Consider the following 19,060-nt stretch of genomic DNA (forward strand, 5'->3'; position numbering starts at 1 on the left):
AAGACAGAAAGCCTTGTAGGCATTTCATTCCACCATAAAGCTTCACATAAATCAAACAGTATCTAGAAATTATAACCCTTAGCTTACCTGGACAACAGGATATTGATAATCCATACAATATACACCATACATAGCAAAAGGGAAAAAATCTTCAGATAAGGACAGTACAAAAAGTGTCTAAGTTTTTGCCTTGTTTGCGCTGGCTGTCCTGTCCAAAGGAACTAGGTAGCACCAAAAAAATCCTTCGCTGACCTCCAGTCTACGCAGATAGGTATGCTGGCTCAGCTGATGAAGTCGGAGCTTGGTTGAGACCAGGCCTCCACCCCAACAGGATTTGACAATACACAGAAGAGATGTTCAGAAAAAAGCAAAAAGCTTTGAGTTACTAGTTACAGACTGAAAACTACACTGGAGATTTGCTGTTACTGTTGGTTTTTAAATTGACAACTCAACCAGAAACTCAAGAGGCAGAGAATGACAGCCAGGGAAGGGAACACAGGCTCCTCACACTGGCACACAAACACGGTAGGAAGTCTAAGGTATCCAGGAGCCAAAATAATATATATGTTCCAGGCTTTAAGTGCGTCAGAGAATACTCCCAATCCAGGACACAGAAAGGCAGATGGGACTGGTATTACTACTCTATTCTTTCTTGGGCGGGGAGCATGTACCCGTGTGCACGCATGCGCATTCTCTGTCTCTCTCTCATACACACACACACACACACACACACACACACACACACACACACCCTTCTCACTGTCTCCGGCAGAGACAGGTGTTAGGATTAACAGTATAAAACCTTTCTGCCACGGAAAGGAATGGGAGAAAAAAGTCACACTGATACACGCAGTAAGGGGATCCCTTTCATGACACTGTATGTTTTTGTATCATTTAACACCTCCCTCGCTGTGCTTTAACAGAGGTTAGGACAGCTGGCAGGATCAGCACTAGAAAAGAAGAAAGTGGCCCCAACTCTGAGGCAACATGAGTCCACTGGAGGCCTCCAGATATGCAGGGTACACTTGCTCAGCTGTTCCAGTCAAACTTGGAAGGATTAACTCCGGCTGTCTGCAAAAAGGTGGGGGTGGAAAGGTCTTTTCAGAAAAGCCAGTTGCTTTTCTCCTTTTAGGGAGCTGCTATACCCACCCTGCCATTATATACAAATACACATGTGCACACATATTTCTATAACAGATATTAAAAGCAGTAACAAACATGGACAGGTGTTAGGTTTGTCTGACAAAGCACAATAGGTTCAAGAGTTGGCTTTCAGAGCCTAAATGGCCCATCAAAAATCAGAAAACTGCTAAGTAATCCTTAGAAAAAGGACACAGAGTGAGCAGAAAGTGAAAATTAATGTTTATTAAAAGACAAACCAGTTGTAACTATTGATCCTACGAAATCTTCTATTTGGAACAAGCATTCAAAATTTCAAAATGGTAAATAATTCTAAATAAGTTTCAGGGGCTATGACGTCCCTAATCGTGGAGAGCCAGTAATATTGTAACATGCTTTTGGATGATTAAACCATGAGGATTAAATGCAACTGTGAGGGCATCTGTGAGAATTTAAGTATTACCATGCCCTCCATGCCCCGCCCCCATCAGTGTAATTCTTCTCCTTTTACGGTCACTGTAATTTATTTTAGGATTGTTCAGAAGAAACAGATTTTTAAGAGTCAAAATGGCTATAGCATATTTTGATGGTATTCTTGGTTAAACATTTACCTGAACTCAGTTCTAACAGATTAGGAGGACCACTATACTCGATTATCTTCAATTTGCTGGTACTGATTCTATGTGCATTACACATGAAGAACAAGAATAAATCTATTCAGTATAATTAATAAAACATTTATTGAACATCTATTGCAGACAAAATATTGTACTAAGCCCTGGAGAAATGAACACAGTTCTGTTGTCAATGAATTCACAGTTTATGGGAGAAATAGATAAGGACACAGGCAAAGCCAAAAAGCAAAACAATGCTACAGCACAAAACTAAATATTGTAAGCAACTTCTCATACATGGAAAAACATTTTTTAAAAATTACTCTTGGCCGGGTGGTGTGGCTCACACCTGTAATCCCAACACTTTGGGAGGCTGAGGCAGGGGGATCACTTGAGGTCAGGAGTTCGAGACCAGCCTGGCTAACATGGCAAAACCCTGTCTCTATTAAAAATACAAAAATTAGCTGGGCGTGGTGGCATGCACCCTGTAATCCCAGCTACTTGGGAGGCTGAGGCAGGAGAATTGCTTGAACCCAGGAGGCGAAGGCTCACCACCGCAGCCGAGATCCCGCCACTGCACTCCAGCCTGGGCAACAGAGCAAAACTCCATCTCAAAAAAAAAAAAAAAAGTTGCTCTTAATACACAGTTTTATAGTCTCTCTCACCATTAGAACTATAAAACCCTACTTTGTCAATTCTTAACAGAGATTATCAAAGCCTCATAACATTTCAGATGTGCTTTGCCATACCTTAAGGGATTATAATATACAGTCAGCCCTCCTTATCCTTGGGTTACACATTTGTGAATTCAACCAACTGCAAACAAAATATTTGTGAAAAGCAATAAAAAAAACCCAATACTGTATAATAACAAAAATATAATACAAATTTTAAAGACAATAGTTATAATAATTATTTACATAGCATTTACATTGTTTTGGAAATTATAATTTAGAGATAATTTAAAGTCTACAAGAGGATGAACATAGGTTATATGCAAATACTACACCATTTTATATAAGAAACTTGAGCATCTGCCAATTTTGGTATCTGCAGGGGTGTGAGAGGGTGTATCCTGGTACCAATCTCCCACAGATATGAGAGGACTATATATTCTAACAGTCTCCTGTATAGGTATTAAAATGGTAATTAAGAAATAACAAAAGACTGGGTACAGCAGCATGTGCCTGTAGTCCCAGCTACTAGGGAGGATCATTTGGGCCAGGAGTTCAAGTCTAGCCTGGGCAACATAGTGACACCTTTCTTTTTAAAAAAAAAAAAAAAAAAAGAATGTTTCTGCAATAAAACCTTATGCTAAATTTCCTCTTCTAATCAAATCAAATAATTATTAATCCTTCTTCCTCCCTGTACACTTCTGTCATTTCATACATAGCAGTACAGCAGGATGGGCCACATATACACTTATAAGCTAGTATCTTAAATCACTATTAAATCTCCTAAGATTCTTCTTGATATGAAGACTGGAAAATGATGATATGTCTTATACATCATAAAAGGCTGTAATAATGAACTATGACTGACTAACTTAAACTTCAAGAGTTAACCCAGTTCAATATTTGGTGACTTAATTATAGAGGAAATTCCCAGATGCTGTTGTATTTAAGATGAAAGACTGTAATTCAAATCCTAAAACAACTGACATAATTTAAGCATGAAAGTGATCCCCAAATGTTATTGAAGGCCTAGTCAATTTCCAGAGAAAGATTTAAATTCTTCTAGACTATACATACAAGGTGAAAAGATACGACTGATGCATTATTAAATGAAAAAAATTGCCAGGCACAGTGGCTCATGCCTGTAATCCCAGCACTTTGGAAGGCCAAGGCGAGCGGATCACCTAAGGTCAGGAGTTTGAGACCAGCCTGGCCAACATGACGAAACTCCATCTCTACTAAAAATACAAAAATTAGCCGGGCGTGGTGGTGGGTGCCTGTAATCCCAGCTACTCAGGAGGCTCAGGTGGCAGAATCATCTAAACCTGGGAGGCTGAGGTTGCAGTGACCCGAGATCGTACCACTGCACTCCAGCCTGGGCAACAAAGTGAGCCTCTGTCTAAAAAAAAAAAAAAAAGAAAGAAAGAAAAATATTATGTTGTTTAATAATGTGTTATAGTTCTATATTTGTAAATGAAATTATATAGGGGTATGCATGCATGTATGAATCTATGTGTACATCAATCAATAAATTATGTATGTAATTAGACTTTGAAAAGCAGTGCTCCAAATAAAATGAAAAAACTAAAAAATTTATTGTGTAATTAGTTAAGCTTTTATTAAGTCACATATAAGTTAGACATGTATGTATATGTATACACATATACGTAATGTATTGGTTGACATACACACCAATATATGCCATATGTCCACACATTATATATACACATACCATTATATGCCATACATATACATATATATACACACGTGTGTGTGTGTGTGTGTGTGTGTGTGTGTGTGTGTGTGTGTGTGTAGCCATTAAGACAAAACTAGTACCTCCAGGCGGTGGAATGGGGTGGTGGCTGGTTTTCGCTTACTAATTTAGAGATAAATTTCCAATCGTTCATACACATTTAAATTAGCATTAACTGCTCCTATAATTTGTTAAAAGTTTAAAGGAACCAAAACAGATTTTACTTTCAATACAAGTACTTTAAAAATTATTAATATTCCCATGGTCTCTGATTTATATGACTAGGCCAGGCACGGTGGCTCACGCCTGTAATCTCAGCACTTTGGGAGGCCAAGGCAGGTGGATCACCTGAGGTCAGGTGTTCGAGACCAGCCTGACCAATGTGGTGAAACCCCTTCTCTGTTAAAAATACAAAAAATTAGCCAGGCATGGTGGTGCATGACTGTAATCCCAGCTACCTAGGAGGCTGAAGCTGGAGAACTGCTTGAATCTGGGAGGCGGAGGTTGCAGTGAGCCGAGACTGTGCCACTGCACTCCAGCCTGGGCAACGAAAGCAAAACTCTGTCTCTAATAATAATAATAATAATAATACGACCACATTTGCTTTACCTAACATAATGTGATAACTATAAACTCTCATTTAAGACTAGAGGATATAGGCTGGAAGCAGTGGCTCATGCCTATAATCCCAGCACTCTGGGAAGCTGAGTCAGGAGGATTGCTTGAGGCCTGGAGTTTGAGACCAGCCTGGTCAACATATTAAGACCCTGCCTATAGCCCCGCCCCAAAAAAATTAGCTGGGTATGGTGGCACACAGCATGTGCCTATACTCCCACCTACTTCGGAGGCTGAGGTGGGAGAATCACATAAACCCAGGAGGTCAAGGTTACAGTGAGTTATGATCATGCCACTGTACTCTAGCCTGGGCAACACAGCAAGACCCTGTCTCTTGAAAAAAAAAAAGACTAGAGGATATACACAATAAAGAATCTTAATCTTTAGATATATGATTAAGATATCTCACCTAGGTTCTGCTGAAACCATGCCCAGGTATAGCTTAAATCATCAGCTCTTCAGAAAAATGTCAAAATAATGTAATATTTGAATTATAACTCTTATACTTTATCTTGCCTTTTACCCATTTCTTTCTGTAAAATTTTTTTAATTGCTATAATTTGAAGACTAATAACTTAGTCAAACCAAAATTTGAAATAATACTGATGGAAAAAAAAAGGAGAATCTTTTACCTATAAGACAAAACACACTACAAAAAATCAAATTATAAACTTGAAAGGTTTCTCTCTCTTTTCTTGATATGGTCTTTCTTCAGAATAATGTAGCCTCAGTTATTAACAGAAAGAAATTCCATGCATGGATCAATAGCTCAACATCATTCTTTCAGTATTTTTCCCATTTATCAAAATGATTTTAAAAATAGAAACAAAAAATGAAAATATTTTCAACTCAGAAATTACTCCTGAGTCCCCTCCCTCATCAGAAAAGACTGGGTATTTCCTTAAAATTTTAAATAATATATTTACTCAAAAATTCTAGAAATAAAAAGACTAATTTTCCACAATAAACTCAAGAGTTATTGGCTGATGATGCCAATCTATTCCACTTTCAAGTTTACACTCTACAATATTATGGATGCTTTTATAGTATTAAAGTTCATGTGTCCTGATCAATAAAAAACATGAATTCAGAAAATAGTCCTTCATGTATATTTCCATACATCTCTTTAGCAAAGACATGCAATACCAATTCACTTTTTTTTTCTGAGACGGGGTCTCACTCTGTCACCCAGGTTGGAGTGCTATGGCACAATCTCAGCTCACTGCAACCTCTGCCTTCTAGGTTCAAGGATCCTCCCACTTCAACCTCCCAAGTAGATGGAACTACAGGCGCATGTCATGGCTCCTGGCTAATTTTTTCAACTTTTTTTGTAGACATGGAGCTTTGCCATGTTGCCCAGGCTGGTCTTCAACTCCTGAGTTCAGGCGATCCACCTGCCTCAGCCTCCCAAAGTGCTGGGATTATGGGTGTGAGCCAGCATGCCCAGCCCCAATTCATTTTTCAACATAAGTTTTAACACTTGGGTCGGGCACAGTGGGTCACACCTGTAATCCCAGCCCACTGGGAGGCTCAGGCAGGCGGACTGCCTAAGTCAAAGAGTTCAAGACCAGCCTGGGCAACATGGCAAAGCTCCATCTCTACCCAGGCCTGGTGGCACATGCCTGTAGTCCCAGGTACTCGGGAGGCTGAGGTGGGAAGACTGCTTAAGCCTAGGAGGTGGAGGTTGCAGTGAGCTGAGATTGTGCCACTGAACTCGAGCCTAGGAGACAGAGTGAGACTCTGTCTCAGGAAGAAAAAAAAAAAAAGTTTCAACACTTAGCACACTTAGAATGTCTGTTGAACAGAAATTTAATGATATCAGGGAGAAACAGACCTAGACTTAGAAACAGACCTAGTTATTCAAAATCTAGACCTAGAAATAGACCTCGTATTTAAGAGTGAGATATTTAGAAATTATCATGAGATTTGTAAGGTTTAAGTTTTGCTAAGGATAAGGTAAATCAGTCTCATGCCAGAGGACATGGTTGATGATGCTGTAGTGTTATCTGTACACCGACATACAACCCTTGGGATCTCAAGACTTAGCAAGCACTGGTTAAGTTCAGTCAATCAAATTAACCAGAAAATATTTAAGATTCTTTTCCTCCTCTCCTATTCTCTCATTCCTGTTTTCTTCTCTCTTTTTCTTTCCCTTCTGCCCATGCCACAATCCTGCCAAATGTTTAAGGATATTAGCTATGCCTCAGGGTAGAATGCTTTAGCAAAGATTGCCGAGATTTCTGCCTGAGGTATAAATTTGGTTTTAGTCACAGTATTCTTAGAAGGTTCCAAAGATTCTATATTACCCTGTGCACCAGGGTAAGACAGAACTTCAAAAAGAGATAGGTCAGTTCTAGAGGCCAGGAGGGGAAAAAAAAAAAAAAAGAGCAAAAGAGCTAGGGCTTGAGCTGGAAGGATGAGGATGGGACAGGGGGTGGAGGAGGAAGATATATATGCAGGCAAAATATGTCATTAGAAATATGCAACACTGGGCCAGGCACGGTGGCTCACACCTGTAATCCTAGCACTTTGGGAGGCTGAGGCGGGTGGATTGCCTGAACTCAGGAGTTTGAGACCAGCTTGGGCAACACGGTGAAACCCATCTCTACTAAAATACAAAAAATTAGCCAGGCGTGGCCACGTGCGCCTGTAATCCCAACTACTCGGGAGGTTGAGGCAGGAGAATTGCCTGAACCCGGGAGGCAGAGGTTGCAGTGAGCCGAGATTGCACCACTGCACTCCAGCATGGGTGACAGAGCGAGACTCCGTCTCCAAAAGGAAAAAAAGAGAAAGAAATATGCAAGACTGACTGACTAAGGGATTGTGTGACCAGTTTACTTGACTATGGGTAGGTGGTGGCAAATGACAAGAAAAGTAGGTAGGTTCACTATGGAAGGACTAGGACATCCTGCTACGTATTTCAGATCTGATCTTTAAAGATTGAGCAAGAGGAAAAGAGTGCTACATAAATAACGTTTTGTGAAAATGGCTCTGGTGGCTGCAGGTAAGAATGAAAAAGGGAACAACCTAAAGGTGGGGAAACCAATTAGCAGCTACCATTACAAGAGGTTACAGATGACTAATGCAAAAAATACATATTAGCAGTAGGAATAAAGAAGGTATAGATATATAAGAGATGACGAAGACAACATCCACAGTAATTGAAGACTGTCCACATGTAGGGTATAAGAGAAAGGTTCTAATTCTAGCTAACTAGCCAAATAAGAATAACACTGCTAATACAGACAAATCTGAAGCATAAACTGGTTTGAAGTAATGGTAGAGAAGGTATAACAGGTACTCGGGGTTGAAGGTACAGCTAGAGGAGAGGTCAGGGTTAGACACGAAGATCAAAGAGAAAAGGAGAAATAGCCATGGCCATAATGGGGTTGAGATTCCTCTCCCACACTGATGCAGTCTGTAACATTTATTATACATCAACCATGTACTCCAAAAAAAGAAAAGTAGAGACAAAAGAAAAATGGGAGGTGGAGGGGAGACACAGACAGATAGAAGGCAAAGGCTGAAAATAGAACCTTGAGGAATCCTTGCTTCAAGAAGGCAGAAATAGAAACAGAGGATAAAAAGATTAAGCATAATCGTGTACTATTCACAAAAGCCAGGAATACAGAGGACATCTGTTTCTTTTCTTCGATCTCACATCCTTTATACTAGGGAAGGTATTTCATAAATTGATATCAGAGGTGAATATATAACAATGCCAAGTAGAAATCTAGAAAGGTTAAAGAAAATGAGAATTTAGAAATAAATGACTGAATTTAGCAAACAAGAGTTAAAGAGTTTTCAGAGCACTGTTTTAGTAATATGAGTAAAAAGAATGGTAGCAAACCTGATAAACTCATGGTCAGAATGAAAAATAGACAAAATGCCTGCATATAAATTTTAACAAACTTTCTATTGGGATACTTGATTTCCAAGTGGCAATAAAGTACAAAACCAATTATTGATACATTCAACTACCCACAGTTGCCTCTATCAAGGAGAATTTTTACTTTATTTTGTTTGGTTTTGGCCTCTGTGCCTTTGATCATGTTTTCTTACCCATTTCAAAATGCCCAAATCTTAAAAATGCTACCTTAAATGCCATCTGCTCCACAAAGCTCTTCCTGATTACCTCCAACTAGAAGTGATTTCTCTTTCCTCTGAACTTATATGGCATTCTCTATTTGTTTTTAGACATACTTATTTTATTGATTAGATGAATTCTCTAAGGATAGAACCTGTCCATCCATCTTCCTATTTCTCACAAATAATTAAGCTAAAGGCCAGGCACGGTGGCTCAGGCCTGTAATCCCAGCACTTTAGGAAGTCGAGGTGGGTGGATCATTTGAAGTCAGGAGTTCAAGACCAGCCTGGCCAACACGGTGAAACCCCAACTCTACTAAAAATACAAAAAATAGCTGGGCGTGGTGGTGGGCACCTGTAATCCTGGCTACTCAGGAGGCTGAGACAGGAGAATCGCTTGAACCCGGGAGGCGGAGGTGGCAGTGAACCGAGATCGTGCCACTGCACTCCAGCCTGGGCAACAAGAGTGAGACTCTGTCTCAAAAAAAAAAAAAAAAAAAAGAATTAAGCTAAAACAGTTTATACAGTATATGCTCATCAGTATATGAAAAGAGAAGGTCTGCAATAAATTCAAACTACAAATCAGAGGTAACTGAATGAATCACCACATACAGACCATCCCTAATTTGTTAGTCAGTCAATATTCATTCAATCATGATATCTTCAACATTGCATGAAGGCCTACAAACAGCAAAAACTATTCAAGAGCTGAAAATACAGGGGAGAAAAAGTAGAAAATAATACACACCAAAATACCATTCGATAAATGCCACGCTTATTCCAATATGGCTTGGGAGAAAATAAAGCAGCAATTGCTACTATAGCCACCACCACCACCATCTAATTTCTCAGGGTGAAGAAAACCCAGAAATATTTCACAAGCAATTAATGCTTAAAATGTACTTTAAAAAAACTAGCGGGAGTTTTCTAGATGGATTAGGGTGGTGGTGGGAAGCTTTGAGGCAGTGGAACAACTTTTCAAGTGCATAAAACAGCATAGCATACATGAAGCCATACCTACAGAAAGGCAGGCAGGTCAGCATACCCAAAAAAAGTCAAAAGCCTATTTAAAAATATCCATGGAAGAGTTCTATTGATTCTAAGGTACTGAGAAAATTGTAAGGCTTTCTACACCAATGGAAATCTTTAAATTATACCTACCAGAAAATAGCAAATCATAGTTAAGTATGGAAACACTCCTTTGCATGACACATGGTACAGAAAGGAAGTATGGGTAATAACAGAGTAAACCATGGAATGGCTGATATGCATTTCTGTTTTGGAATGAGAGACATGGCATACAAACTGTGAGGCAAGGAATTAGCAGTTTTGTTAAAAGTGTCATTCATAAATCAGTAAATGGATAGGACAATAGTTATTCACTTTTTGTTTTTAAGTTAGAGGCAGGGTTTTCACCATGTTGGCCAGGCTGGTCTCACACTCCTGACCTCAAGTGATCTACCCACCTCAGCCTCCCAAAGTGCTGGCATTACAGGCATGAGCCACTGTGCCTAGCCATTAGTTATTCACTTTAAATTTACAAGACAATATATAAAGGTTAAGGGGCAAAATGTAAAACTTTCAGAGCAGGAAATAATTTTAAATATTCTAATACTGTTAGGGAAACATACCTAAAAATAATTTCACATACATTATCTTATACAACAAAACTTTTTTCTCTCCATAATAACTTTTATCTCAACTAACTCATAATACCTTTTTGGTGAACTACAAAAAATTGGTCATAATATTTCACAGCTCCTCCATCAAGAAGTGGAATTTGTTTCTTCCACCCCTTGAATTTGGTCTTAGCTTTGTGACTCACATTGGTCTTGGGGATATTAGCAAATATCACACAAGCAGAGGCTTGACAGGTGCCTGTTCACTGAGGCTTGCCCTCTCTTGCTACTCTCTGGAACCCCGACACTACTGTGTGAAGAAGTGTGAAGGACGAGAGCAAGTGGAATACAGATGAACTGCTCCAGCTGAGCCCCCAGATCAACTAACCTGCCAACTGCCAGACATGAGAGTGAGGTTATCCTAGACCACTGAGGCTCAGCAAATGCGGCCAAGACTAAAACAATCACCCAAACTCCTGACCCGCAGAACTCTGAGCAAATAAATGATTAACACTTTGTTAAGCTATTAAGTTGTGGGAAAGTTTGTTACACAGCAAAACCTAACTGACACAATTTCATTGCATAACATGAAGATGTAAACCTCAATACTGACACCAACACCACACTGTCTGCAGGCTTTAAATCAGGCTGTGTTAGTCCTGCAACTTTGTTTTCCTTCTTCAAAGTTGTTTTGGCTATTCTAGGTCTTTGGCATTTCCATATGAGTTTTAGAATCAGCTTGTCAATTTCTACAAATATCTGGCTAAGATTCTGATTGGGATATACACTGAATCTACAGATCACTTTGGGGAGAATTAACATCCGAGAGAATTGAGTCTTTCTGACTATCAACACAGTATATCTCTCCACTTCATTCCACTATTCAAATAAAGGGTTTTTAAAGATTATGACTATCTTTTCTCTAGGCCTGTACTGAAATCGAATGCTATACCTGATGTTTGTAACACTTATCATTTCTTCTGAAGTCTGCTAGATCCCATAATACTCACATCCCTATAAGACTGTATGATACTGGTGTCAAGAGAGAAAAATAGATCAGTGAAACAGAATAGAAAGTCCAGAAATAGATCCACAGGTGCAAACGGAATTCAGTAGAGAAAGAACAGTCTTTTCAACAAATGGTGCTGACACAACTGGATGAAAAGAAACGAGATTTATACTTCTTTCCAAATACAAAACAACTCAAAATGGACCACATACCTAAAAATGTAAAAGATAAAACTGTAAAACTTCTAGGAGAAAACTTCTGTGACCTTGGATTAGGCAAAGATTTCTAAGCTATAACATTAAAAACATAATCCATAAAAGAACAATAAATTGGACTTCATTTAAAACTTCTGCTTATCAAAAGACACTGTGAGGAGAATAAAAAGACAAGCCACAACTGAGAGAAAATGCTTGCAAAGTATACACCTGATAAAGGACTTGTATTCAGAATATACAAGAACTCTCAAAATTCAACCATAAGAAACAAAACAACCCACGTTTTTTAAAAAATGGGCAAAAAAAATGAACACCTGATTAAAAGAAGATGGTAAATGAGATAGTAAACAAGCGCATGAAAAGAAGCTCAGTATCATTATTCACTAGGAAATTAGAACCTATTAGTATGATATCACTACATACCTATTTAAAAGACTTCGACAATACCAAGCTTTGGCAAGGCTATGGAGGAACCGAAAGTCTCATATGCTGCTGGTGGAATGTAAAATGGTATAACCAATGTGGAAACAGTTTAGCAAGTTCTTATAAATTCAAACACACACCTACCATATGATCTATCTATTCTAACTATTTACCCAAGAGAAAAAAGAACATATAAAGAATATGAATATGAATACTCATAAAAAATCTATTTGTCTGGCCTAAAACTGGAAACAATCCAAATATCCATCAACAGATAAGTAATAGTGATAAACAAATTGTCATATATCCACAATTACTACTACTTAGAAATAAAAATTAATGAACCACCAGTATATACAGTAACATGGATGAATTTCAAAATAATTATGCTGAGCGAAAGAAGCCACGCAAAACAGTACTTATTGTATGAGTCCATTTTTATACAATACTAGAAATTGCCAACTAATCAATAGTGACAGAAAGCAGATAAGCGGTTGCTTGGAGATGTGCTGGGGAGGTAAGAGCATATTGGGAGCACTACAAAGGGGCATGAGAAAACTTACGGAGATGATTCATATGTTAATTATCTTGGTTGTGGTGATTTCACGGGTATATACATATGCCAAAACCTAACAAATTAATTTTATATAGGTGCAGTTCATTGTATATCAATTATACCTCCATCGAGTTGTTAAAAAATTAAAATAATGAATTCTTGTCCCACTTAATGCAATGAATTTTTGAAGGGTTAGTTATTTTCTTTGGAGGGGGGGGGGAATGATAAAAGGAGATGGGGGAAAGGCATCCGTCTTCCCTAAAACACTACAGAAAAGGTCTTCTGAAAAGGAAGACTGGTAGCAAATTCCTTCTGATCAGTCTAGATTAGCCCCCTGCTAGAGAACCCCTTTAGCACGTGCATACATCCTCCTCACTTTGCCAGACATATCATCGTTTCTGTCTCTCCCACTTCAGGAGGGCAGGTACTACATAGTCCACCTTCTTCCTTAAAGTATCCCTAATACCTAGCAGAGTACCTGGTTGTAGTACACAAGCAACATCACATGTGGGTAAGAGTTCAGGCCTCTGTTAAGCCAGGCTACTTGATTCGAATCTTAGCTCCATAACTTCTTAGCTGTGTAATTTGAGAAAAGTTATTTAACACCTCTCTGCCTCAAGTTCTTCGTCTGGAAAAAGAAGATAATAATAGTACCTATCTCATGGGGCTGCTGTGATGACTAAATCAGTTGATATATGAATAGGCCTGGCATATACTGATTATTAAATTATAGTTGATGTTATCGGCGTCATTGCTGTCGTCGTCATCATCATTATCTCTGATAATTGAAGGACATTTAAAAGAGATTGAGAATTATCTGAATTACGAAGCTAAATCTATATCTGAGGAATAAGTGGCCTCAACAGCAGGCAGAAAGCATATAAAGAACTAGGTAACTGTGTTAGGAGGAGAAAAGTCAGCTGGGGGGCAGGGGAGAGCACCTACCCATACCTAGCACAGGGCATTTACGTTATTTTTGTAACATATTGTTGTTATTTTGTAAATATTTGTAACATTTTACAAAATATGTTATTTTTGCAAATATTTGTTATTTTGTAACATATTTATGTTATTTTTGTAAATTTATGTTACATTTCTGTAACATAAATCAAGTGAGAAGACTACCCTTGACCAAGAAGGGAATATCAATAAATAAAGGAGGAGAGAAAATTGAAGTGATTTTTATGCCAAAGCAAATTTCCTTAAGCACAAAGCAGGCAACATGTTCTCTCTTTAACAGTACCGAAAAACAATAAGAAGCCATTCTCTTGCGTTCAAAATAAAAAGCTAATCCAAAAAGGCGGCCAGGGTGTCTTGAGCGTGTACCTGCCCCTCTTCTTGGATTGTGTTCACTATGCTCATGCCTTACAGATGAGCTGTCAGGAATCTGACAGCTGCACCTGACTCTCATACCTACTGGGGATAGAGACAGGGCTCTAAGAGCAGCAATGTAGCAGTTGTGGGAATCCTTGGGTTAGCACTAGCCCCTTGATCCATTCAGACCTGTAATCTCTTCTGACTTTGATTTAATGCAGCAATTACTGGTAATGTGGTTTGAAGGAGATAAATGCCCAGTGTAGCCAGCTGTCGTTTACCCTGCTCACGATGCAAGAATATTTTTAAATTAAAATTCCCTTTATGATAAAGGAGCTGCTTCACTGAATGTTTCTGTGCAGCTCTGATATGGAACTTCCCCCAAAGCGGATTAGAAATCGAAGTTGCCCCTCCTCACTTCGGGCAAAGCATGCATATATACAATTACTCCAACACCTAAAGTGAGTTCCTTAACCCTAAATTTCCCATTTATACAATTAGATCCTGGTAAAAACTTCTTCTGCTTCTCAGATCAGTGTCAGCATTACATGATTTTCATTAATAATGATTCATCTGTTTTTGCAAACATATTCTCTTAATTTCCTTTTAAATTAATATGCAAAGTAAACATTCATAATCATATATGCATAAAAGACCTTTTTACCTATTTCACTTGGAAAAAATAAAGTACAGCTGAACATAAAATATCAAAAAATAAAGCCAGTTTTATTTTAACTCATAATACAATGTTTTGCTACACTTTTTATATCTAGGAATCTGAGTAATTAAGTCATAAGTGAAATAAACATAGAAGGGTTCATAGTACCTACCAGGGTTTTTTCCCCATGACCTGAAACCACTATAATATAGCAATTTAAGGAATTTACATAAGTTACTCAGTCCAGGTCAAAACTGTATAATGTGGGCAAATCAGTTGAAAACAATGATGACAACCACCACCCAATAACTAGAGGGAACATAATCATGTGAGGCCCCAAAGGTGAACATTTGGTACAGGTTTACTGGTTGCTGAATCAATCAATAAAAGTTTTGATCTAATTCTCAAACTTCCCACCCCCAAAAGTAGAAATAAGAAAAATAATAACTTATACTTAGGATCTATTACTTTGATTGCTTGGAGAGGATGGTCACTGACAATTATCCTTTGAGAAATGAAAGAAACAGAGCACAAGGTCTGAATCAGTTATATTGTGCAAAGTAGAAACAGTGACTTAAGACCAAATGTGTATTTTCTTTTCCTAATGCACACAGCACCAGTTCAGGGCAAAGGTCAAAAGCTAAGAAATGACTTTTTGTTCCACTATTAGAAAGCAGTGTCTCCATTGCAATTAATTCATCCAATATTTTTTGACTAAGAGCTTCTAAACTGAAATAACATCCCACTTTCAGAAGAGTGCCATATGCCTTCTCAGGAAATCCAAGGCTAAGACTAGATTCCCTCTCAGGAGGCCCTGCCAAGACCTACTTTAATCTTAGGTTTAAGAATACAGAACTGATGTCATCCTTGCAATACTAATGCTACTCTGCAGAAGTATTCATGGGTCTTTGGCTCTCTTTGAGAAAACTGATCTTCTCTTTCATAGAAAGATAGATAACTTTGGAAAAATAACTGTATGAATATATACTACATACATGGATGGATGGATGGATGGATGTATATCTCGGCCCTTGGAAAAAAAGCCTGGCATGATTAATAAGATTAAAGAGGGATTTAGGATAAATAAGATGAAAGTTAGTATGATCCTTACAGGATTAAACCCTAAATCCTAGTATGAATCCAATGAGTTTTTAAGATCAACACCATATAACAGGATTAAATCAATAGCCACTTTTGTTTTATATTGAAAACAATCATAGTTGGTAACACCAGGCCTATAGCACCAATTCCTCAGTTAAACACTGAGGAGTTCAGGACTAAACAGGGGCTTTTCCTCTGACTAGGCTTGGTGACTGCCCTACCTACACAGGTCCAAAAACCCGTATCTTTAATTCCAGCGTTCAAAAAGCCTGGAAAACTAAGTTTCTTTCTTCACCATCCTTTTCCCCTCCCCCATCTTTATTATTATTTTTTTTTGATGGTGATAGAAGAGGGATTCACTTTGATAGAAGAGGGATTCACTTAGTGACAAATGTGACCTAAACTAGTGTGGATATAACAATATTATGGTGTGAATATTCAAAAACATTTAGCTGCAAATAGATGAGTATGATTACACAGTGTTGCCTCTTACCCAAATACTGGTGGTTAGCCTAATATAGGGTACATGTATTGCATATTCTTTCTAAAACCCAAAAGATTCCAAATGATAATACATATCTGGCTTCCAGAGTTTCAGATAAAGGACTGTTGTGTTGTTCTTTAGCTAAAAAAAAGGCAGCTATGCCATGAATAACAGCAAATCAAGGAAAAAAATTAAAATTGTTAACACAATAAGCAACAACATGCCAAATATTGGCTATCACACTGTAGCCAGTGTGTCTAAGATGGATATGCACTGGGGATAAATTAGAAGACACAGAGATCCAGCTGGAACTACATATGCTACAGATTGATAATTACATTTTAATAACTAGAAAAATAGTATATTTTAAGTAAAATTTCTCAAAAGGTTGGTTTAGGGGTAAGCTTTTAAAACCTGCCATCAATCAAAAGCAAACAATAACAAAAGACTTTTGGGGGTATACCAGAAAAGACAACGTGAAGGTTTATTCAAACTGCATAATTAAATATGTATTTCCTAAATACCTTTGTAGTCTTATGATTCTTAGAATTTTAATTCCTAAAATAAACACAGAAAGGCAATTTGGAACATAATATATACGCCATTTTTTTGAAAGTGCATACATTAATTTTCAAACTCATTTATATTTATTAATTTCAAACAATTTATCTTGGAATATTTATATTTATGCATTAATTTACACACATGCATCTCTTTGATAGACATACTATTATTTAATTAACATAAAACAAAACTACAGACTTCTGCTTCCAGGAAGATGGAATACACATACTTTTCCCTATCCCTCCCACTAAGTACAATTTAAAACCCTAGACATTTCATATATTAAACATAAGATGACTCCTCAAAGGTTGAAAGAAGCAAGAAAACTAGACAGGGTGGTGAGTTCCTTGGGTTTTCTTCTTGCCTCATGTAGCCCAGACTTGCAACTAAAGGACCCAGAAACACCAACAGGCACTGACAAAAAAAAGCCCCCAGTGAAAGGCTCCTCTCAGCCAAAGAACAAGAAAAGGGGTGGCCTAGCAAGACAGAAAACATGCAGGCTGCCTTAATCCAGCCAAATACCACTTCACTCCCACTCACGCCAGGAAAGGCCAAGTGAGGAGCCTTCACTTCTACCCTGGCCAGGCTCTAACCAGGAGTCTCAACATCCCCATCCAAGAAATATCACAGAATTAGAGAGCCCTTGGAGCCCTACAGAATGTGTAACAGTATCTACGTTCAATGTCTTGATTTCATAACTGCATTGTGGTTATGTAAGAAAACGCCTTTATTCTTAGAAAATAAATATGAAATTATCTAAGACTGAAGGGATTTTATATGCACACACATGCACACACACACACACTTAAAACGTACTTTCAAATGGTTCAGAAAAAAAGAGAATAGTACAGCAAATGTGGCAAAATGATAAAGAAAAGAACCTTTTAAGGTTAACAGATATATTCACTACCTTTCCTGTGATTGTGTCACAAGTAGTTTGCCTATGTCAAAATTCCATCAAATACCACACTTGAAACATTTGCATGAATCTACAATTATCTCAAAACAAAGTTTAATGAAAACAAAATCTACTTGGCACTGAAATCCAGAATAATATGAGTACATCTGCCAGCAGTTTTATATTTTGATGTCACCCAGAATGCCATAAAGTGATGACACCTAATGTTTGTAATGATTATATCATGTATTTCTTCCTTTGGAGTTACCAAATCATTGTATGGGCTTTACAATGTATTCTTTGCGTTTACTAGACACACAATTGCTCACACCATAGGACAAAATCAGTATGCAGAAACCACCTTGTAATAGCCTTTTTAATTTGTTATTCATGTTTCTTAAATATACTAACTAAATATTGTTGCTTTGGTAAGGGTTACCAGAACTTAAAGAGATGGGCCCTCTGTAAGTAAGTTTGATTAGCTTTTTAAAATTAGCATTCTTTGAAAACTATTTTATGAAGAAAAAATTAAGGGCTCCCATCTTCCATTTGACCATCAGTTCTACAATTTAAAATTTTTTTAAATTTTTTCTTTTTTACCTCCAGAGGAAGTTCCCTTGAATCCTCTTAGCCAAAAACAAAATATGACTATCAAACAAAAGACATAAACACTTTTAGATATGATTAATTGCCAACGTAATATCCAACACAGCATATCACACCACTTTTTAAAAACCAGTTCTGCCAGGCACAGTGGCTCACACTTGTAATCTCAGCACTTTGGGAGGCTGAGGTGGGAGGATCCCTTGAGCCTAGGAGTTCGAGACCAGCCTGGGCAACATGGCAAAACCCTAACTCTACTAAAAATACAAAAAATTAGCTGGGTGTGGTGGTGTGAGCCTGTAGTCCCAGCTACTCAGGCGACTGAGGCAGAGAAAAACCTGAGCCCAGAAAGTTGAGGCTGTAGTGAGCCACAATGGCACCACTGCACTCCAGCCTGAGCAATGGGACCTGGGTGACAGGAATGACATGCTGTCTCAAAAATAAATAAACAAATATAAAAACCAGTTTTTATATTACCTATATAAACTATTGGAACTTAAGAAAAATTAGGATAGAAATTTTGGCTTGAATCAAATAAGGACCAATACTAATATGTAGAACCTTCATAGAAAGTGTAGGTTAACACCATAGTGCTTGTTACTTCCCATTTTAAACAGCAAAAGTGAGAAAGGATCTATCACAGATACTTTTGGAATAATCTTTTTAAAATAAGATAATAGGCAGGCGTGGTGGCTGACACCTGTAATCCTACCAATCTGGGAGGCCAAGGTGGGAGGACTGCTTCAGCCCAGGAG

General features: G+C 37.9%; 1 protein-coding gene across 44 annotated transcripts in view; it reads right to left on the reverse strand.

The window, feature by feature from the left end:
* Window positions 1-19,060, reverse strand: part of RBFOX2 (RNA binding fox-1 homolog 2) — a 290,089-nt gene that overhangs the window by 110,749 nt on the left and 160,280 nt on the right. For 3 of the 44 annotated variants that reach the window (XM_047441257.1, XM_017028691.2, XM_017028690.2), the window contains exon 1: window positions 88-639. The exons of the other annotated variants lie outside the window; for them this stretch is intronic. In XM_047441257.1, coding sequence (XP_047297213.1) covers window positions 88-132 — 45 coding nt within the window. In that variant the 5' untranslated portion in view covers window positions 133-639. Of the gene's footprint in view, window positions 1-87; window positions 640-19,060 lie in introns of those variants that run through there. 44 annotated transcript variants of the gene reach the window in all.

Source organism: Homo sapiens, chromosome 22 (assembly GCF_000001405.40).
Source record: "Homo sapiens chromosome 22, GRCh38.p14 Primary Assembly".
In the NCBI taxonomy this organism is placed as follows: Eukaryota; Metazoa; Chordata; class Mammalia; order Primates; family Hominidae; genus Homo; species Homo sapiens.